General features: G+C 39.9%; 1 protein-coding gene across 11 annotated transcripts in view, besides 1 other annotated feature; it reads right to left on the bottom strand.

Annotated features, from left to right (window-relative positions):
- UHRF2 (ubiquitin like with PHD and ring finger domains 2) overlaps window positions 1-23774 on the bottom strand; it is a 93856-nt gene that overhangs the window by 55055 nt on the left and 15027 nt on the right. For 10 of the 11 annotated variants that reach the window (NR_046386.2, XR_428418.5, XR_007061241.1 and 7 more), the window contains exon 3: window positions 17827-18086. The exons of the other annotated variant lie outside the window; for it this stretch is intronic. Coding sequence is in view for 3 of the 10 variants with exons in the window: in NM_152896.3 (NP_690856.1) it covers window positions 17827-18086 (260 nt within the window). In the remaining 7 variants the exon portion in view is untranslated. The remainder of the gene's footprint in view (window positions 1-17826; window positions 18087-23774) is intronic. 11 annotated transcript variants of the gene reach the window in all.
- Window positions 22675-22794: an enhancer, noted in NCBI's record as "active region_28186". NCBI's record gives its function as "activates an Ori minimal core promoter by ATAC-STARR-seq in GM12878 lymphoblastoid cells {active_cell/tissue: GM12878}" and the evidence as "EXISTENCE:reporter gene assay evidence [ECO:0000049][PMID:35858748]".

Raw genomic sequence — 23774 nt, 5'->3', positions numbered from 1 at the left:
TGGCATATATACAAATGCATATATACACAATACACTTTTATTAAAACAGAAGCGTAAACCAAACTAACATTGTTACTTAAAAAACTAGGTGGGAGGCTGAGGCAGGAGAATCGCTTGAACCCAGGGAGGCAGAGACTGCAGTGAGCCCAGATCGTGCCACTGCACTCCAGCCTGGTGACAGACTGAGACTCTGTCTCAAAAACAACAACAACAACAACAACAACAAACAGGCCGGGCGCGGTGGCTCACGCCTGTAATCCCAGCACTTTGGGAGGCCGAGAAAGGCGGATCACGAGGTCAGGAGATCGAGACCATGCTGGCTAACATGGTGAAACCCCGTCTGAACTAAAAATTAGCCGGGAGTGGTGGCGGGCGCCTGTAGTCCCAGCTACTACTCGGGAGGCTGAGGCAGGAGAATGGTGTGAACCCCGGGGGGCGGAGCCTGCAGTGAGCCGAGATCGCGCCACTGCACTCCAACCTGGGCGACAGCGAGACTCCGTCTCAAAAACAAACAAACAAACAAAAAAAAAAAACAAAAAAAAACTAGGTAAGAAACAAGATAGAAGGAATCAGGATGGAAGCTCAATTTCTCTTAGTATATTTTGTTTTGGAGATTTAACTACAGAACTATGTAATGTGTCACATAATTATAAACACAATTAACAAAATGTGAGAAATCCCTAAAAACCAAAAGCATAATGAACGAAACTACACAACTGGTAGCCTAACACCACCAGGATAAACAATTACAAGTTATGTGAAAGCACACCAAGTTCACTAGACAGCCCAAATGATATATTTCCTAAAGACAAAAAAAACACGTAACTTTTCAGTAGTCCTATTGTTTGCAATATGAAAGTATTGTTAGTCTGAAACTACCGTGAGTAGGATAAAGCAAATCAGTGATATCACTAGGAACTGTGATTTTCAGGTTAAGAGAAAATAAACATAAAACCACAGAGGTTAAGTTGTAACCCTTTCCTCCTCTAAATTTAATTGGAACTATCAATATTCACCCATGGTATATTTAAGTATTATTTCCTAGTTCTTTTCCAACGAAAAGACCTAGAAACATGACCAAACACATATCAGTAAGCAGCACAGACTATGTGCTCTAAATACCATTTCCAATTCGAAATAACTGGGATTCCTAGACATGGCTGAACCCAGGGCTGGAACATTCTGTTATACCTGAACACAAAGAAACATTCAAAAACTATTATGTCACTTTAAACTTGAAGGATCTTCCAAAGGCTAAAGATGAGACAATATAAGCATCAAAGTAACAACTGGGATAGGTTAAAAATAGGTGTTAAAAGGCACTGGAAGTTCATAATAATACTTAAAAGTATCAATCTCACCGGTCAACCTTTGAAAGATTCTAGGGAATTACAATACAAGCTGGTAACAAATTTTGAGTGTATCAGGCTGACAACACCTGAATCTTACCACAGAAAAGTATTATGTGTCTCCTGATGGGATACCATGCCATAGGTAAACAAACACTGTCTCTCAAGTAGTCTTATCTAACAGAGTTTAAATCAAATTAAACTTTAATTATTAGCTTCTCAGGAAACTAACACATAACAGAAGAATGTGTCAAATATCACTACAGGAATGTGATCAGTAAAATCCAGACTGAGAAAATTGTACAAGACAAATGACACAGTTTATTTAAATAAATGGGGGGGGGGGAAGGGGAAGAAATCTGTAGATAGAGACTTACCAACTAAATGTAATGGGTGGGGTTTGTTTTTGATCCTTATTTGAACAACCTAAGTACATTTTTAAATAGATAATTAAGGAACTATGAACATTGATTGGTTATTTGATGTTAAGGAATCATTGGGAATTTTATGTGACATTTGTTGTTACACTTTGTATGTCAGTGTTTCCAAGTCTGTTCCCAGGTTCAATGATGTAGCAGAACTCACAGGACTCCTCTACACATTATAGCATGAAGCTATACCCATGGCTGAGTTAATACAGTCAAAAAACAAACAAAAAACAAACAACAATGAAAAGCAAAATCAGCAAAGGGAAAAGGCACATGAGGTGACCAGAGGAAACCAGACACAAGCTCTCTAAGAGTCATCTCCTAGTAGAGTCACACAGGGCATGCTTAATGCCTCCAACAACCAACTGTGACAACACATGGGAAATATTGTCTGCTAGGGCAGATTAGAGCATTCAAGATAATTAGGGGCTGATAACAGGTACTGCCTAGCACATACCAGAATTCCAGACTCCCAGAAGCAAGTGTTCAGCATAAACCATACTGTTTGCAAAAACAGTTTAGGCACAGAGAACTATTTTTAATCAGAAAATAATGGGAATGTTCCTGAAATCTAAGGTTTCCAAACAGCAGGCCAGGGCCAACCCATATAAGCTGACCATTTTAGGGATACCAGTCTCAGATCTGATGTTAACTCTTTTCTGCAAACTCTAAAAAGAATCCTTTTTAAGCCATTTTGTCCGTTGGATACTCTGGGAAACAGACGACAAGATGAAGGTAACACCTATGAAAGACAGGGAAAGAAAGGAGAACTAGGCAGTAAAAGCCCTTAGACCATGATGCTGGTCTATCATTTTGAAAGAAGGAAGGGGCAGGAAAAGCCTGAGTGCTGTTCAACTCTGACAACATCTTGGCCAGTCTAATGGTAAGCTCAGGTGTGAAATTAACATTGGGCAGAAATTGCCAAATCCAGAAGCACTGTCACACTTGGTCACTGGCTGAGGGAGGCCAAGAAAGAGCATAGCTTTGCTTCAAACACTGTGGCAGAGTTAGAAAGTGCTGTAGTTGAAGACGATCAGCTAACTGCACTACTTGCAGCTGGTCAGTAAAGGTCTTTCTTAAGACCTTTACTTCTTAGGATCCAGTTTCTAGGGCCACAAATGAGGCCATTTGCAATGGAAATCATATAAGGTTCAGGACTTGCTTCAAAATAATACAGTGGTGCTCAAAGGTGCTGGTAAAGGTAAAGACAAAATTGGCTATGAGTTGATGATGGTTAAAGCAAGGTGATGGGCTCATGATACTGCTTGTTCTGCGATGTTTAAAGATTTCCGTAATAAACACAAATGCTACGCAATTGAAAATCCAAACACTGGCTAAACACAAAAGGCTCTTCCTATTTTTTGAAGTTTTTCCTTATGTGTACAAACTTTAAAAGGTGACATTCAAGGCTTACAATGAAGACAAGTAGTCTGTCTACTGCCACAACCTACCACATTCTTAACTCCTGTTACTCAAGAGGCGAAAACTTTCCATTCTTATCTTATTTACCTCCACATTTTCAAACAGCATGCTTTGTATTTTTTGTTGTTAAACTGTTACTCTTAACATCCACCAAATACAGTTCACTTGCCTCCATCCTCCTCTTATAATTACTAACACACAGCACTGCATTAAGCGTTCACATATACTTATAACAACCCTTAGGACAGTCTGGCATTATTCTATCCCCATTTTACAGATGAAGCATAGAAGTTATTTATTTGGACGGTAATAAAAACAGAGACGTTTTTCAAACTGATCACCTGGCTCTAGAATCCATACACTTAACAGAGACAAACTTTTTCTTCTTCTTGAACATATTATAGAAACTATGTAGTTTGTAAAATCAATATTTTTTACATGTTAACTAAATAGTATTCACAGATAAGTAATGAAGTATGCTTTAATTACATTTCCTTCCTTCCACAACTGTGTTTTCCTTTGAGTATTTGGTTGCTCTTTTTGGTTGTTACTATGTACCTATCATTAATTTATCTACATTCCTACACAGTTGTAAAACTGTTCAGACATCTTAGGTACTCTGTCTTTTTGCAACTTTGAAACATTTCTTCTAGAGCCTCTGTCAAATTCCAATCTGGACACCTTGCTTTGTCCAGATTGTAGGCTTTGTAGGCTTTACGCCTGGTCCACAGCTTTCATGCTAGCATCTCCTTCCATTACCTCCTATATTGAATCCTATTTCCTGGAGAGCATGTCTTCTTTCCTGTTTTAAACACTAGGTAGGGTTAAAAGTGGTTAAAATGTTAATACAAATTAACCAATCCTCTTGTTTTTAGTTCTATTCCACATGCCTTCCTCCAAACTACCTAGTGAATTCAAGGCCTGAGCCTTCCCCAAGGTTCTCCAACACCAATTTGCTTGCTTTGTTTGTTGGCTTCTCGTACATAGGTTTCAGTTTTCTCTGGCCTGCTAAACTAGGCAATGTTAATTAGTGTTGTGCCTTCCAAAATTTTGTTGCTTTCTCTTGTGTTTTGATTTCTGTGCCTTTTTTTGTCCTCGGGGGTTTATGGATTTATTATTTTACTGTCTTCTAGGATGGTTTAGGAAGGAGTGGAAAGAAACATGTATCTTAACCTGCCATGTTTAACTGGAAATCTTTATTTACCTTTAGTTTCATTTCTTCTTACTCACTATATGCTTTCTACACTCCAGCTGTATTAATCTACTCTCAGGTAGCCCCATATTTTCTGCTTCTTTATCCTTGTATACTGCTGTTCTCCTTCAGGAACTAAAATATCTCCTCTACCTTTATACTCTCAAAGCTAGGTATGCATATTTCCATCATACTATAAAACAGCAATTTTTCACTGAGGAGCAAGTACCATGTTCAAAATATAGAGTGTTTGGGAGAGACCAGGCCCACAAATGTCTGGAAACATGTCCAACTTACTAAACAGAAAACTGTGCTTTTATATAAAAAGGTCTTAATCAAATATATAATAAAGTATGACCGCCTGACATCTATTTTGCTAATAGTAGAAACAACATAATTAGGTTAAAAGGTACGTGTGCTGGCTGGGCGCGGTGGCTCATGCCTGTAATCCCAGCACTTTGGGAGGCAGAAGCGGGCAGATCATGAGGTCAGGAGATCAAGACCATCCTGGCTAACATGGTGAAACCCCATCTCTACTAAAAATACAAAAAAATTAGCCGGGTGTGGTAGCAGGCACCTGTGGTCCCAGCTACTTGGGAGGCTGAGGCAAGAGAATGGCGTGAACCCGGGAGGCGGAGCTTGCAGTGAGCCGAGATTGTGCTACTGCACTCCAGCCTGGGTGACAGAGCAAGACTCTGTCTCAAAACAAAAAGTATGCCAAAAATAAAACTTATAAGTATTATTTGTTTGTTTATTTATTTTTTGAGACAGAGTCTCACTCTGTCACCCAGGCTGGAGTGCAGTGGCGCCATTTCAGCTCACTGTAATCCCCACTTCTTGGGTTCAAGTGATTCTCCTGCCTCAGTCTCCCAAGTAGCTGGGACTACAGGTGTGCACCACCACACCAAGCAAATTTTCCTATAGAGACGGGGTTTCACCACGTTGGCCAGGCTGGTCTCAAACGCCTGTCGTCCCCAAGTGATCCACCCGCCTTGGCCTCCCAAACTGCTGGGATTACAGGAATAAGCCACTGTGCCCAGATCTAAGTATTATTTAAGAGTATGTAGACCGGGGCTGAGGCAGACGAATCACTTCAGCCCAGGAGTTTGAGACCAGCCTGGGCAACATGGCGAAACCCTGCTTCTACTAAAAATTAAAAAAAATTAGGCCAGGCATGGTGGCTCACGCCTGTAAACCCAGCACTTTGGGAGGCTGAGGCAGGTGGATCACTTGAGGCCATGAGTTCGAGACCAGCCTGGCCAACATGCTAAAACCCTGTCTCTACTAAAAATTAGCCAAGTGTGGTTGCACACGCCTGTAATTCCATCTACCTGGGAGGCTGAGGTATGAGAATCGCTTGAACCTGGGAGGCGGAGGTTGCAGTGAGGCAAGATTGAGCCACTGCACTTCAGCCTGGTGACAGAGCAAGACTGTATAAAAAAAAAAAAATTATCCAGGTGAGGTGACGTATGCCTGTAGTCCTAGTTACTTAGGAGGCTAAGGCAGGAGGATCACCTGAGCCAGGGAAGTCAAGGCAGCAGTGAGCCGAGATCATGCCACTGCATTCCTGCCTGGGTGACGGGAGTGAGACTCTATCTCAAAAACAGGAAAAAAAAAAAAAAAAAAAGGGTGGCGGGGGGGGAAGAGTATTTACCAAAACAACCTGTCTTTATTAATTAGTAAATGAAAAGCAAAAAGTTTTATACCATTATCACCAGGTTATTTTCAATATTATTAGAAGAAAGAGCTAGGACCAGTGGCTAATGCCTGTAAGCCCAGCACTTTGGGAGGCCAAGGGGGAAGGACTGCTTGAGCCCAGGAGTTTGAGATCAGTCTAGGCAACATAGGGAGACCCTGTCTCTACAAAAAGAAAAATTTTTTAAATTAGCCAGTTATGGTGGCATGCACCTGTGATCCCAGCTACTTAGGAGGCTGAGGTAGGAGGATCACTTGAACCCAGGAGGTCAAGGTTGCAGTGAGCTGTGGTTGTGCCACTGCACTCCAACCTGTGTGACACAGTAAGACCCTGTCTCAAAAATAAATAAAGAGGCTAGGCGTGGTGGCTCACCTCTGTAATTCCAGAACTTTGGGAGGCCGAGGCAGGTGGATCACTTGAGGTCAGGAGTTCTAGACCAGCCTGGCCAACATGGTGAGATCCCATCTCTACTAAAAGTACAAAATTAGCCGAATGTGGTGGAATGCCCCTGTAATCCGTTACTCAGGAGGCTGAAGCAGGAGAATCGCTTGAACCTGGGAGGTGGAGGTTGCAGTGGGTCAACATGATACCACTGCACTCCAGCCTGGGAGACAGAGCAAGACTCCATCAATCAATCAATCAATACATAAATAACACAGGTCAAATAGTTATTGACAGATAAGGAAATTAAAAGCTGAAAAATTTAAGAGAAAACAAAAACCTTAATAATAAACTAAAGACCTGGAATTCAAACCAAAATCTTTTTTTTTTTTTTTTTTTTTAAATAAGAGATAGGGTTTTGCTATGTAGTCCAAGCTGGCCTCAAACTCCTGAGCTCAAATGATCCTCCCACCTTGGTCTCCCAAAGTGCTAGGATTACAGGTGTGAGCCACCATGACCGGCCTCAACCCAAATTCTAAATCTAGTGCCTAAACTATGTAGCCTGTGACAGAACCACTGCTCCGTATACTTAATGGCCAGCGTGGTACCTCTTTGAAAAGCAGATTCCTAGGCTGGACTTGGTGGCTCATGCCTGTAATCCCAGCACTTTGGGAGGCCGGGGCAGGTCAATCACCTAAGGTCAGGGTTCAAGACCAGCCTGGCCAACATGGTGAAACCCTGTCTCTACTAAAAATACAAAAATTAGGCAGGCGTGGTAGTGGGTGCCTGTAATCCCAGCTACTTGGGAGGCAGAGGCAGGAGACATCACTTGAACCCTGGAGGGGGAGGTTGCAGTGAGCTGAGATTATGCCATTGTACTCCAGCCTAAGCAACAAGAGCAAGACTCAGTCTAAACCAAAAAAAAAGCGGATTCTTAGGCCCTACCCAAGGCCCACACAATGAGGAAGCAGGGAGAGAGAGGGTCCCCTCAGGAATCTGTTTCTTAAACACCTTACATGGGTGAAAATGCAGTGTTTCTGACCATCTTTGAGAAGCATAAATGTAAAGGGACGATATATAAGTTTGAAGAGGTGAAATCAACTGGTATCTGTAAAGTTCTTTTTCTAAGTACTAAGTGATCTTGCAACACATGAGCAACGAGAAAATGAAATGCATATCTAACTTATTCCTTCCTCCTTTTGATTACCATCCACTCAGGAGCCTACAAGTCATAGACAGTTAGAGGAAATACTCTAAGTCTTTGGTAAAGACACCAATAACAACCAAGAAGCAATAGAGCAGACAGGTTATTTTACCAGGGTTCTGAAATTAAACAACTCATTCTAGTTCCCTCCTGTACTCAAGACTGACATGACACTTAATTCAAGAAAAATCTACTCTCTCTCCCATCAAAACCTAGAAATAATTACATTTGACACTATTAAAAACATTTTTGGAACTCTTAGAAAAAAGATCACTACATCAATATACTCAAGAAAATCAGTTTTGTTACTTTTTGGAAAAACTTTCATCTAAAAATACCACTTGATTTTATTCAGAATTGGCTCACTGACTTCTATTTGCAGTAGCCACAATTAAGGCTACTCAAAATCATGTACCACAGACTGAGAATAGCTCCAGAAATCTTAAAGAATGCTGGGAGCAAAGACAACATATTTTAAGACGTTTGCCAGATGAGTTTTTAATTATAGCCTAGCCTAAGTTACCCACAAAATTCTAAGTGATGCTGTAACATTTCATTTGATTTCAATCCCATGGTAAAGCCTTGACACTGTATTAAAAGTAACAGTTGAACCTATTTGGTTTAAGCAACCCTTTTAATACTAAAAAGTATGTGTTCTCCCCCACAGAGAAGTACATACAGGTGTTTATGGACAAGAAAAAGAACTTCTCTGGTTTATAGTATCTGTTCTGTGAAAGCATTCTGACTAGAGAGATAAACAGAAATTTTTAAGTTATTTAAACAAACTGACATGCTATAGATAGATGGTGTTTTACAATAGTTTTTTAAAAGCATGCTTCTCTTAAAATGAGAGGTAGTATGGTAGAGTAGTTGCAAGCATGCGCTTTTTGGAATCTGCCTGCTACTTACTAGCTCTCTAACACTGAGCAAGTTACTTCTTTAAACCTCAGTTATTCCCACTTTACACATAAGAAAACATCTACACTTCACTGAGTTTCTATGAAGATTACATGAGATAATCCAGGTAAAGTATCTGTATACTGCTTGGCACACTGTGTTATTTTAACAAGAGAATTATTGGATTAAGCTACTTTAATTTGGGCTTCACTATGAAAAGGCTCCTGGCGATCATTTGCCCACAGTTAAAGACTGCAACTTGCCTAGCCAAAGGTAGCTTCATTCTTAAGATCAGATACAGACATATTAACTTTCATAAGAATTTTCCTTCTTTACATAGACACTTCCTTGTTCAAACTACTAGGTGTTTTCTAGCTTACTTTTATTCTTATAGAAATCAGCTAAAAGTTATAACCCGAGACCTCTAAATTAGACCACTAAGTTAAATAAAGCAATAAAGGAAAAGCAAGTCACTAACAAGAATAGTTTCCTTACACTTACCTTTTTAACTGAACTGTAAGACTGACCGACAGTACATGTTAAATCCTTGGTTTTAAGAGGATAAAGAGAACAGGTGGTAGTGTGGTAACTATGGCCTAAAAATTAAAGCCTAGACCATATCATCATGAAGTTCGTGCCATGCCAGGCACAGTGGCTCAGGCCTGTACTTCCAGGACTTTAGGAGGCCGAGGTGAAAGGATTGCTTGAGCCTGGAGTTCGAGACCAGCCTGGGCAACAAAGTGAGACCCCATCTCTACCCCCCCAAAAAAAAAAAAAATCAAAAATTAACTGGTCACAGTGGTGTGCACCTGTGGTCCCAGCTACATGAGAGGCGGAGGCAGGAGGATCACTTCAGCCCAGAAAGTCGAGGCTGCAGTGAGCCATGTTTGTGCCACTGCATTTCAATCAGGGTGATGGAACAAGACCCTGTCTCAAAAACAAAACAAAACAAACAAAACAAAACAAAACAAAACAAAACCTTATGCCAATGTTTAGAGAACTTTTGAACTGATTGAAAATTTATGGATTGATTATTCTGTAATGACCAGAGACTGAGCTGCTTCATCCACTGGAAACATTTCAAGGAAAAGCATTTTACAATCAGGGAAGAATCTGACATCTATTTCAATCCCATCTCCCGTTCAGGAAGCTTGTCTTAGAAGGACTGACTGGAGGTGGTGGCTCACACCTGTAATCCCAGCACTTTGGGAGGCTGAGGCTGGTGATCACTTGAGGTCAGGAGTTTGAGACCAGCCTGGACAACATGGTGAAACCTTGTCTCTATTAAAAACACCAAAACTAGCCAGACGTGGTGCCAGGCACCTGTAATCTCAGCTACTCGACAGGCTAAGGCATGAGAATTGTTGAACCCAGGAGGCAGAGGTTGCAGTGAGCCAAGATCGTGCCACTGGACTCCAGCCTGGGCAACAGAGCAAGAAAAACCTTAGATCTCGGAACAGTCAACTATTACATAGTATTTCCCCCACTCAAGAATTTAACAGACAAATTTCCCCATAAATACATTATGGACATTAATTTCTATGAAAAATTAATATGGGTAAAGACTGTATAGTGGAGAAATGGTCCCTCATTTAAAGTCAACTACAGATCATTTAGCTTGAATGAAATATAATTTTAGAAAAGAATTAGTTCCAATAATTTATGTCTATAAGGAAATAAAATGGAAAAAAAAAACCGGCCACAAACCACCTAGACATACTAAAATAAGAATGAATGCTCAGATTCTTCAGGTATTGCATATCATCTTTGGTCTTTAAAATATATTTAGTTAAACTGTCATATATCAACTCCTTTCCCCTATACTGCTATTTGGCAGCAGTTGCCTGATAGTAATGGATAAGGCTGGGTCAAAAGGAATTTATCAATGATTTGTTCTCAAACTTGAGTATGCATCAGAGCCACTCAAAGGACTTATTAGAACACATACTGCTCAGCCAACTCCAGGACTGATTCATCATATGCCTGGAGTGAGCCCAGGAATTTGCATTTCTTTTGTTTTTAATTCTGCTTTTTTTTTTTTCTTTTTGGGAGGGGTAGAGACAGGTTTTCACCGTGTCACCCAAGCTGGAGTACAATGGCACAATCTTCACTCACTGCAACCTCCACCTCCTGGGCTCAAGCCATCCTCCCACTTCAGCCTCCCGAGTAGCTGGGACTACAGGTGCACACCACCATAGGTGGCTGAGTTTTTTTTGTAGAGACTGGGTTTTGCCATGTTGCCTAGGCTGGTCTCGAACTCCTGGGCTCAAGTGATCCACCTGCCTTGGCCTCCCAAAGTGCTAGGTTTACAGGTATGAGCCACTGCACAGGCCAAGAATTTGCATTTCTAACACGTGGTGCTGATGCTCCTGGCCAAGGACCATTATTTTGAGAATCAATGAACTAAGGCAGTGGTTCTCAACCATGGCTAGACATTAGAATCATAGGGAATTATTATCACAGGGAATCACAGGGAATGAAATAGAATCACAGGGAATGATTAGAATCATTACAACTTTTGAAGACATCAATGCCAGGGAGAGGGAAGGGGGCTCCCTCAGAAGGATTATACTAGAAATTCTATGCGGAGAGGTCTCATGCACCGATTATTTTGAAAACTTCCTAGACAATGTGTAGCCAGGGTTGAGGAACACTAGTCTAAGTAACTAAAATTAATCTAAATAAAATCCACTGAAAGCAGATGCTTTTTATATACAAAAGCAGGATAAAGATTTTCGCAGCCAAATGATGAGTACAGATAAAATTTGGCAGGATACCCTAAGTTGTTGACATACCTACGGTTTAGCTCAATAGAAGTTGCGTGTGTGCTTTTTGCTTTAAATCCCAGGCAAAGTCTAAAGCAAGTCTTCAGCTCATACTTGCAATTAAATATTTATATAAAATGTTGACCTCTGACAGCAACATAGAAAAGTTGGCTATTATCAATTATATGTACCATGTCTGTGCTGAATCACAATACTGCATATTGGTTAACTCTTGGGCTCTTGAGTCAGACAGTTTAATAGATGTGACCCTTGGCTAATTATATAATTAATCCTTGGTTTCCTCATATGAGATTTAATGTAGCTAACATTATAATCATGCTAAATATTACATAGCATCTGTGTAAGAAGTTATGCTCAGAGTCCGGCACATAAGACAACATTCTCTAAAATATCATAAGCTATGCCACAGATATTATTAAAAACACTAATGAAATGACTGCCCTTCAAGACCACTACTTCCCTCAGTCAACATCCTGACTCTTCAACAATAGCTTCAGGGTCTCTACTTGCAAGACTGCTGTCAGTTTTGTGAATTTAGATGTTTAGGGCCCTTAAAAATGTTAATCTTAACTTTTAATATCTTAACTACAGAAAGGATAATTGATGGGAATACAGAACATTGAGGAAGATATACAACTGAACAGTACACACTTACTAAAATGAAACAAGAAAATTTGATGTTTTCTCCCTTTTTTCTTTTACATTAACCACTTAATGATTTATAATTGCCTCTATTACCTTAACATTTTGCTTAAGTCCTCCTCCCTTTTCTGTTCAAAATACCACTAGAAACAAGAGTTTTCATTCAAGTATAGTCTCTCTCCAGTAACCAGGGTTTGGGTAAGGGGAGGTAGTTCTCACAGCCAAGTTGTATGTGCCCACTAAAGGAGTGGTTTTAAAAATGACTTAAGAATTCCTTGAAATCTAAATCTCTAGAGTTTAAATTTAATAATTCTGCTGTCAAAGTTCTCCCTGAGTACTGATTAGGTTGAGTTCTACTAAAACAAGGTTAAGGACAGATAAGTGACATAGAACAGCAATCCAGAAAAAAAACTTATAAATATCTATCTACTTTGTACATGATGTGAACCCAATGTTTGCTTTGCACTATCTGCATAAAGGTGTGAACCACAAAGTTGACAGCTTAACGTAGGCCTTAAGGCTGACAATCGAATATTCACAAGAAACCTTCAACAATTCAAGAAGGCTCACGCCTGTAATCCCAAAACTGAGGCTTGAGGTCAGGAGTTCAAGACCAACCTGGCCAACATGGCGAAACTCCATCTCTACTAAACACAAAAATTAGCCGGGCGTGGTGGTGCACATCTGTGTCTCAGGAGGCTGAGACAGGAGAATCGTTTGAACCCGGGAGACAGAAGTTGCAGTGAGTCAAGATCACACCACGGCACTCCAGCCCAAGCCATAGAGCAGGGCTGTCTCAAAGAAACAAACAAAAAACAATTCAGCCTATGTTCACCAAGAAATCTATAGAAAAGGACCATTTACAAGCAACTAGTAAAACTCAAATTTTAAAACATTTCAAATCTCTTAACATAACCTGTTTTTCATAAACTTAGTGTTTGTATCTGTAATTTTTGAAGGAATAGTGGAGATAAATTAGGAAACAAATTATTTCAGTTATATTTTAGAATTACATCTTCTACTATATCTTAAATTTTTTTGGTTTGGTGTTTGAAACTCCTCTACCTAAGAAGAAACATCATAAATCTATAATGGCTATCATTCCTCATAGACTAAAGATTGTTTTTAACTCTGCTCTGACTGGAGTAGAAGTTGAAAATGCAAGAGAATAGCTATTTATCTTGGCCTAATTCAGCAACGAATTCTGTTTTAATGAAGCTTCATTTCAAAGACTGATAATCTGGTCTAGTAATCTATTAGATACGTAGATTACTATAAAAAACAGCTTTTAAACAGCTCCATTTTAACTGACAAACATTGCATACCCCAGAATAATTCCAGAGGCAGGTTTCTTTCATCTCATGTACAATACATCTCCCTGCTTTTGCTAAATGACAGCTTGTTCAAACTACACTGCTACACTCAAGAGGTTTGCAGACACAATTGTGCACAGGTTTGCCAAATAATGCTTATCACTCTAGGAGAAAAATGAAAAAGTAGTTCTTTGAGAGAAATACCATAAAGCCATAAATGCAATGGGATGGTAACCTATAAGCACTTAAAGCCTATTTAGTTAAAGTACAAAAATGTGACTTTGAGAGACACTGGCTTAGAGGTAAAAATGACATGCTGTCATTACAGGTCATCTAATACAATTACTAACTTCATAGATTCTCTTTGCAGTGCATCATCTCCAATAAGTCTTCCCATCTATGGTTGAAAATGGCCAATGCTAGTTTACTGGCTACTTCTCAAGGCAGACCATTCTCCATCTTCAGAGATATTTGACTGGTAGGAAGTTTAGGTTATCCTGAAACTTCCCTTCTGTGTTATACAGAAATCTCTTCTAAGAGCTTTTACAATATGGGAACAATCATAATCCAGGTCTTTCAAGCTAAGTATTTAGTTTTTTTGGCTACTCTTCACTGTAGTTTTACATTTTGAGTCCTACTCTGAACATGCACCAGGTCCTGATGGTATTGTTTTTAAGGCATGAGAGCTGGAGGACAATATTCCTAGTAGGGAATAGCCAGTCCAGTACAACAGCAGCATCATCTGGTTTGTACTAGGTATCTTACTTCTAATGAAACTAGCCGGGTGCGGTGGCTCACACCTGTAATCTCGCACTCTGGGAGGCTAAGGTGGGTGTTTGAGATCAGGAATTCAAGACCACCTTGGCCAACGTGGTGAAACCCAGTCTCAACTAAAAATACAAACATTAGCCAGGTGTGGTGGTGCATGCCTATAATCCTAGCTTCTTGGGAGGCTGAGGCACGAGAATTACTTGAAACCAGGAAGTGGAGGTTGCAGTGACCTGAGATCGCACCACTGCACTCCAGCCTGGGCCACAGTGCAAGACTCTGTCTCAAAAATAAATAAATAAAATAAAGCAAAACAGATTTACAGCATAACTATATGACAACCACATTCTATCGACTCACTTGGAGCTTACTACTCAATAAAAAAATCTGGCCAGGTGCAGTGACTCATACCTGTAATCCCAGCACTTTGGGAGGTTGAGGTAGGTGGATCACCTGAGGTCCAGAGTTCAAGACCAGCCTGACCAACACGGTGAAACCCCGTATCTACTAAAGATACAAAAGTTAGCCAGGCGTGGTGGCAGGCACCTGTCATCCCAGGTACTCATGAGGCTGAGGCAGGAGAATCGCTTGAACCTGCAAGGCAGAGGTTGCAGCGAGCCGAGATCGTGCCACTGCACTCCAGACTGAGCAACAGAACGAGACTCTGTCTAAAAAATAATAATAATAAAATAAAAAATCTGCTTATTACTACTGTTAGGCTATACCAGCTTTCTTCAATGCATCCTCCATTCAAAGAAGAACTTGTTTGATGACTTACTGAAATCAACATGTACTTCATTATATTTTATAATTCATTTTTCTAATGATCACAAAGAATGAAACTTTAACATGCTTTGTATCACAACCATATCGGGCTCATAATGATTCTTTTATCCAGGAGCTTATTTATGTTATACATCTCATATTTTATATAGTCCTTTCCTCTTTTTAAAGAGGTGACATTTACCTGTTACTAAGCTTCTGTTATCTTTCATTTTTCAAAGAAAGTTCAGCTATCGTATCTTTAAGTTGCCAGCATTGAAACATTTAATTCCATCACGTAAAATTATTTAGGGCAGGTAATTTTAGTCTTTTCACACATGTTGGATTTAGATTCCCCTTTACTTAACATTCATTCTAACTGACAAAAAAAGTTGCCAAATATATGCTAAGGTACTGTGTTTTGTGCTCTAAGATACACCAAACTGAAGGGTAGGTCCTATCCATTGGATAGTCTTACTTCAAAAGCAACTTTAAGAGCCCCTAAAACTGTAAAATTTAATAAGCCTTAGTTCACTATTTAAAGTTCCTTATTCTATGTCTATGTTGTGCCATTCTGCATAATATTATTTGCCAAACAATAACTCTTATTGGCCAGAATCAGATTCAAGGTAGTAGTTTTCCTAATTGTTTCTCCCCTTTCCACAACAAATCTCAAGAACTTAAAACATTCTACTTATTTACCTGTTTTGACACAGCATTTATAAACCCAGAGACCACTTACTATTAATACACCAACTTCAACCCCTTTCTACCCCAGCCTCAGTTCAGTTCTGGCCAATCTCAGATCTAAATACTCAGATAATCGTTGGTACTATTACCATCTATCATGTCAAGTAAGCAGTGTTGGCCGCTTAGCCACAACCACAATAAGTACCAGAAAAGTAAAGATTAAAGGGATCTACTTTTGATTCATTTCCAGATATCCTGGAAATCTGAATACTGAAGTGTTGTTATACTGTTTTGTGGTATGAAAAATAATAAGCGTTCTAGGATTTCTAACTCGTACTTGTTAAGAATTTGGTAGCATAATATTTTCCATACATATTAATGTATTACTTGATTAGTGACTTAAGGTCATTTAGTGTGTTTAATATACTAAATCTGTCCCAACAGTAACTTTCGTACTACAATTTTTTAAATGGATAAAGACAATAGTTTACTGTCAGAATCTAAACCCTCAAGACAAGTTCTTAATACCACTTCCATCCTAACAGTTTAAAACCTATTTTGGGCCGGTCGTGGTGGCTCAGGCCTGTAATCCCAGCATTTTGGGAGGCCAAGGTGGGTGGATCACTTGAGGTCAGGAGTTCGAGACCACCGTGGCCAACATAGTGAAACCCTGTCTCTACTAAAAAATAGAAGAATTAGCCTGGTGTGGTACCAAGCACCTGTAGCCCCCAGCTACTCAGGAGGCTGAGGTAGCAGAATCGCTTCAACCTGAAAGGCAGAGGTTGCAGTGAGCCAAGATCGCACCACTGAACTCCAGCCTGGGTGACAGAGCAAGACTCTGTCTCTAAATAAATAAATAAATAAATCCTATTATCTTGGGGAAGTGGGACTGGGGAGTGACTGATAATCAGTATGAGATTTCTTTTTGGGGGGTTGTTCTAAAATTAGTTTGTGGTAGTACGTCAAAAACAACGAATTATACTCTTTAAACAGGTAAACTGTATGTGAACTATCTCAATAAAAAGCTGTTTAAAAAAAATTTTGCACTGGGCACAGTGGCTCACGCCTTTAATCCCAGCACTCAGGAAGGCTGAGGTGGGAGGATCACTTGAGCCCAGGAGTTCAACACCAGCCTGGACAATATAGTGAGACCACATCTCTACAAAAAAATTAGCCGGCCAGGTGTGGTGGCTTACGCCTGTAATCCCAGCACTTTGGAAGGCTGAGGCGGGCAGATCACCTGAGATCAGGAGTTTGCGACCAGCCTGGCCAACATGGTGAAACCCCATATCTAGTAAAAATACAAAAATTAGCCAGGCGTGGTGGTGCGCGCCTCTAATGCTAGCTACTCGGGAGGCTGAGGCAGGAGACTAGCTTGAACCTGGGGAGGTGGAGGTTGCATCACTGTACTCCCAGCCTGAGTGACAGAGTGAGAATCTGTCTCAAAACTAAAATTAAAAAAAAAAAAAACTAGCCAAACATGGTAATACATATGCCTATATTCTCAGCTACTTGGGAGGCTAAGGTGGGAAGATCGCTTGAGCCCAGGAGGCGGAGATTGCAGCGAGCCAGGATCACATTGCTGTACTCCAGTATGTGCAACAAAGTGGGACCCGGTCCCCACCCCCCAAAACATACACATATAGATGTCACTCTAATGCTATTACACTACATATTATAAAATACAGTTTCCAAAATACTGTTAAAATACATATCAAAATACCTAATAGAGGCCAGGCGCAGTGGCTCACCCCTGTAATCCCAGCACTTTGGGAGGCCAAGGGGGGCAGATCACTTGAGGTCAGGTGTTTGAGACCAGTCTGGCCAACATGATGAAACCCCATCTCTACTAAAAATACAAGAATTAATCAGGCGTGGTGATATGCACCTGTAATCCCAGCTACTTGGGAGGCTGAGGCAGGAGAATCACTTAAACCCAGGAGGCTGAGGTTGCAGTGAGGCGAGATTGTGCCATTCAGCACTCCAACTTGGGCGACAGAGAGAGACCATCTCAAAAAAAGCCCACCTAATAGAGAAAAAGACAAACAGAAACCCATACACCCTAAATTAAGCCAGTATTGTGATACTAAAAAATAAACCACTTAAGAACCAGAGATAATCGAGAGCTAAAAGGACCTTTAAATTAGAGTACAACCACCAAAACCAAAAAGTAACAAATGAACATAACCTCTAAAGGATTTCTTCAGAAAGACTATTTAAAATAATCTTGAAATAGAAGGCTTTGGTTTCTACAAATGAAAATATGAATAAAGTCCTCAATAGCTTGAGCACTTACTCATCATACTGGATATGGTAAATAACGTCTTCATCAGCAGCAACACAGTCTGAATTAGACGTAGAGGGTACACTGTCCAATTTATTTGTGTTCTCTTTGGATTTATGCTTTATATTTCCATTAGTCCTTTTACAAGAACTGCCATTCTTCAGTGGAGTTTTGCCACGTGACTGTCCATCAGAAGCTCTAGTAACACTATGTATGTGTGCTTCAAACCAAGCACCAAGGCCGACATCTCTGGCATCCACCAATTCATTTACCTAAAAAAAGTTTAAAATCAGTTAATGAAGCTTAATTTTGTCTACTGCTTCAAAAACCTTAATGTAACTCAAGTTATTTGTGGGTTATCATGGTAAACAATATTTGCAGCTACTCATGTTTAAAGTGGTTAATAAGATTAGATCAAAACTATTCTTTCTGATTTGTGCTATCTTAAATCTATTGACTAAGATGAAAACTAACTTTCTTCCTCATTTCCTTCAATGAAATAGGTGTTTTCTTTACGCCTTACTGACGTATACACTAGACTTTTGAAAATATTATTCTTTTGTACCTAAGAGTCATTCTTGCAAGTCATCCAGTAAGAATGACACTAATGAAAAGCCAGGACTTTAAGCTAATATGACTAATCTGTTCCATTAATTTCTTCATAATCCTAAAGATAACTTACACAGTCCAACCAGAAAACAGTAAAGTATTAAAAAGAAAACAAAACTTGAAAATGAGAGAATTATGCACAATAAAAAAAAGAGTCTAATGAACCCATCTATACAAAATGGTGAAGTTCGATCACTAGTTAGTAACTCACTAGGCAAATACATTTATCTACCACCTCAAAGAACAAAGATAAAATATAAAAATGAACAGGGCGTAAGACACAAAATGGAGGTAGTCAATTCCAGTGGCTGATCCACAACTAACCCATGCAATCTGACAAAAGGAAGGAGTATTAAAAAACAGGTGTATCAGAGAATTAAGAGTTATGAAATGAAAGGTTTAAAAAACAAATCCTCTCCTTTTAAACGCTGTTTAAAAGATCAGGCCAGGCATGGTGGCTCACACTGTAATCCCAGCTCTTTGGAAGGCCAAGGCAGGGGCAGATCACTTGAGGTCAAGACCAGCCTGGCCAACATAGTGAAACCCCGTCTCTACTAAAAATACAAAAATTAGCCAGGCGTGGTGGAGCATGCTTGTAATCCCAGCTATTCAGGAGGCTAAGGCAGGAGAATCACTTGAACCCGGGAGGTGGAGGTTGCAGTGAACGGAGATCGTGCCAGTGCACTCCAGTTTGGGCAATACAGCAAGACTCTGTCTCAAAAAGAAAAAAAAAAAAATGGCCAGAGCCCTTTTAGGACAACAACCAAGAGAAATTCCTTCAACTTTCTTTTTAAGCCCTTAAAAAGGAAAAAATGAAATCAACACAAGATCACTATTTCATCAAGTTATCTTTTCCTTGAAGGGAGAAGACACCACTCTTAAGGTGTCTAATAGATGGCATACCTCGTGGGAGAAGTAAGTTAAATATCAGTATGCCAGATATTATGCAAGGTTCTTTACTTAGATATGTCTAACCCTAAGAAGTTTAATTCCTATTTTACAAAATACGGAAACAAAGGCTCTGAGAAATTAACTTCCTCTAGGTTAAAGCTAATGAAATGTAAGGTTAGGATTTGAAGACATCTTGACTTTGAAGCTTATGTTCTTGCCATCATACCATGAACCTTGATATAAATGACAAGACAGGTATACAGGAACTTCAAAGGTAAGTGAGGAACTTAGAAATAAGTTACTGAAAATATAAAAAGGTTTCAAACCACAAAATGACAGAGGGTAGAAAGAATACAGACTAAACAAAAACTATCAACTGTCACTACCAGAAGAGGTACATTTGACCAAAGGCACTGTATGTAATGAACATGGTAGCAATGAAATAGCTTGAAAGACATAAAGTTTAATATTACACAAGAATGAACAGTTTAGGAAAAAATAAAAACCTAAGAGCCAACCATGCTGGGTAGGACAAACAATCAGAGATGGAGCATGTTATACATTACATAAATTAATTCATGTATTAAATAAACATAGGCTCATTTCTCCCATACTAATCACTGACAAATTTAAAGACATTTAGTCTCTTGTAGACAACACAGTAAAAATGAAAATAATCAATGTTAAGGTCCATCATACTTGGGAGAATAAACTGAGGTTACTACTCTGTCGCAGCAAATCAAAATGTAAGTTTCATATATTACTATAAAAATATTGCATAGCAGAGAATGCAGCATATAGTTGATACTAAAATGGTAACAGCAAAAACACATTAAGCTATATCATCAACCTTACTAAGGAACACGAGGCGGCACAAATGAAGTACTGAATTTGCCTATCAAATGTAAGATACTAGCAGGCAGATCTAATAGCTGGCTACCTTAACATCTAACAATAAACTAAAGTTAACAGACACCTAAATCAACCTCAAAATACTGCCATTGCTTGAACATCAACACATAGAACATATCAGCTCACAAAGGTAGGGCATTCTTTGAATATAGTAAACCTAGATTTACAACTGGACGTAAGAATTTTTTTTTTTAAGACAGGCTATCTGCTGCCCAGGCTGGATGCAGTGGTGTGATCACAGCTCTCCGCAGCCTCCTACTCCTGAACTCAAACTCCTGAGCAGCTAGGACTACAGGTATATGCCACCACACCTAGCTAATGTTACTTCTTGTAGAGACAGAGTTTGCTATGTTGCCCAGGCTGGTTTTGAACTCCTGGCCTCAAACAATCCTCTTTCCTTGGTCTCTCATAGTGCTGAGATTACATGCACAAGGCACCCTGCCTGGCCAAAAAAAAGGATTATCCTACTAAATATAGTAAGTACCCTACTAAGTATTGCTGTGAGTAAGCACTCACAGAAATGCACATAAACTGGGTGGGGACAGAAATGCTCTTAAATTCAAAACTTTCTGCACATTGGATAGACATACTAAGTCAAGCAAAATTTGAATAGGCCAAGATGCATGCAAGATGTTAAAGCTGTGTTATAAAGCCTGGATTTTAAAGGCAGTTCAGAGGAAAAATACTTAGGCCTGTATGATTAATATGAACACAGAAGATCCTGCCATGGTAACTAAGTAATCTAGTACAAATTAAGAACTGAAGTAATTAGCTAAAGGAGTAGCAAAATAGCAGACAAAAGAGGAAAACAGAATTTGCCTATGTGGGAGCATCTGAATTATACTCATGAGATTTTAATTTATTGATGTAACTAAGTGACAACATGGAGAAGCCAATGCCACTGAAAGAAGAATTACTCATTCCCCAAGAGAAGGGGAAATACAGGAAAGCACTAGGTTTGGTCAGGAGGCAGAGGGAACAGGGGAAAATTAGGGCCCAGAGCCTTTATTGTGTTTTCCATGGGAAAGGCAAGGCAGGGGAAACAAGATGGCTAGTTTGAATAATGTCAGTGGGCTTTGGATTGTAGGGGTGGCCTCTAGTTGTTTGGTACCTGGCTGTGGGTGATCAGGGCGGAATATTGGCTTGGTGTTTAAGAGTTAGATAAGGGAGGTAGTTAAGTGCATGGACTCGGGATTACATGTTTTTGTATATAAAAGGCAGGCTCACTGATCAGCTGTTTACTATCTCTAGGAATAAGCTAGCTCTAGGAAAAAGGGCAGTCTCTCCTCAGCCAGTAAGGCCCCCAAAGATGTCAAAACATCATAAAATATACAATTATTTTTAAAAGATTAATATGGGGAGGAGAGGAGTTGAACTAAAAAGCTAAAAAAAAGTTTAAGCCAACCACATAATTCTACACTTAAGAGCTGCATTCATTCACATCAAAGATATAGCCACATTAAGGGCCAGGCACAGGGGCTCACGCCTGTAATCCCAGCAGTTTAGGGGGCCAGGGTGGATGGATCACCTGAGGTCAGGAGTTCAAGACCAGCCCGGCAAACATGGCGAAACCCTGTCTCTACTAAAAGTACAAAATTAGCCGGGCATGGTGGCATGCACCTGTAATCCCAGCTACTTGGGAGGCTGAGGCAGGACAATCACTTGAACCCAGGAGGTGGAGGTTGTAATGGGCCAATATTGTGCCATTGCACTTCAGGGCAAAAAGAGTAAAACTCCATTTCAAAAAAAGAAAAGCCACATTTAGACAAAAAGTTTCCCCTGTCCAAATATCTAATATTTTTAAAACCTGAAGTATGGGAGGCAAGGGGCAATCATTAAAAAAAGAAAATACCAACAGCAAATATTTGATGGTTTTACTATATGCTAGGTACCATTTGTTTTGCAGAAAACACTCCAGCTCTGCAGGTAAACCTAGGTTCAAGTTCTTCATCTATCACCCACTAAGTGTAACCATGAACAAGTTACTTAATTTGTCCCAGCATCTTGCAGTGTATTTGAAATAAAGTGAGAAAATTCATGTAACGTGCCAACCCAGCAAGCATATAGTACACACAAATGAAACAACTGTCTCCTTACTAAGTATATACGTTCAATGTTAAGACTCATTAAAACTCAGAGTATAGCCCGGGTGCAGTGGCTCATGCCTGTAATTCCAGCACTTCGGGAGGCCGAGGCAGGTGGAGCACCTGAGGTCAGGAGTTCGAGACCAGTCTGGCCAACATGGCTAAAACCCCCATCTCTACTAAAAAACACAAAAACTAGCCAGGCGTGGATCCCGCCACTATACTCCAGCCTGCATGACAGTGCAAGACTCTGTCTAAAAGAAACAGAAACAAAAAAACCACAAAACCTCAGAGTACAGTCTTATTACCATACTGCTGGTAAACATTAGCTGTTTACCATTACATACTTTACCTCCTTTAATTATAATACAAAATAATTCCCATTTTCTAATGAGGTCCAGACATGAAATACATTTGCTCAAGAGATACACAGGTAAAAAATGTGGGAGTTAAGCTGAGAATACAGGTTCTCCAACTCTGAAAATTGTTCTCTCATTGTACCATCTTCCTTTTTTTTTTTTTCCTGAGACAGAGTCTTGCTCTGTTGCCCAGGCTGGAGTGCAGTGGTGCGATGTTGGCTCACTGCGACCTCTGCCTCCCAGGTACAAGCAATTCTCCTGCTTCAGCCTCCTGAGTAGCTGGGATTACAGGTATCCACCACCATAGTGTCTAACCTTTTATATTTTTAGCAGAGATGGGGTTTCACCATGTTGGCCAGGCTGGTCTCGAATTCCTGACCTCAAGTGATCCACTTGTCCTCCACCTCCCAAAGTGCTGGGATTACAGGCATGAGCCACCACACTCGGCCCCATCTTTCTTTAATCACAAATTTTAAAATGCAGGGCTGGGTGTGATGGCTCACACTGTAATCCCAGCACTTTGGGAGGAAGTGGCAGGAGGACTGTTTGAACCCAGGAGTTCAAGACCAGCCTGGACAACATAGTGAAACTCTGTCTCTACGAAAAATTGAAAATTAGCTGGGTATGGTGGCACAGACCTGTAGTCCCGGTTACTCAGGAAGCTGAGGCAGCAGGATCGCTTAAGCCCAGAAGGTTGGGGCTGCAGTAAGCTATGATCATGCCACTGCACTCCAGCCAAGTGACAGAATGAGATCGTTCAAAAAAAAAAAAAAAAAAAAAAAAAAAAAAAAAAAAAAGCAAAAGCAATATGGTTCCATTTACATAAAGTTCAGAAACCAGAAAATTAGGGATTAGGGTTGCATAAATAAGTTAAAGATTATTAATAGGTTGTTAAAGGTTAATATTAATAAGAAAGTTAGTAAAGAACAAAGAAATGATTACCATAGAAGTCTGGGTAGCAGTTACAACTAGGGAAGAGGGAGTTATAATCAGGAGGAGGCACCTGGTAAGTTCCTGGGAGTATTGTTATTCTATTTCATAACTTGGATGGTGTTTATAGACAGTGATCGTGCTCTTTGTATTGTCTAATACATTTCATAATCAA

Source organism: Homo sapiens, chromosome 9 (genome assembly GCF_000001405.40).
Source record: "Homo sapiens chromosome 9, GRCh38.p14 Primary Assembly".
NCBI classification, from domain to species: domain Eukaryota; kingdom Metazoa; phylum Chordata; class Mammalia; order Primates; family Hominidae; genus Homo; species Homo sapiens.
Note: the sequence above shows the minus strand (reverse complement) of the source record. Positions and strands in the feature narration are given on the sequence as shown.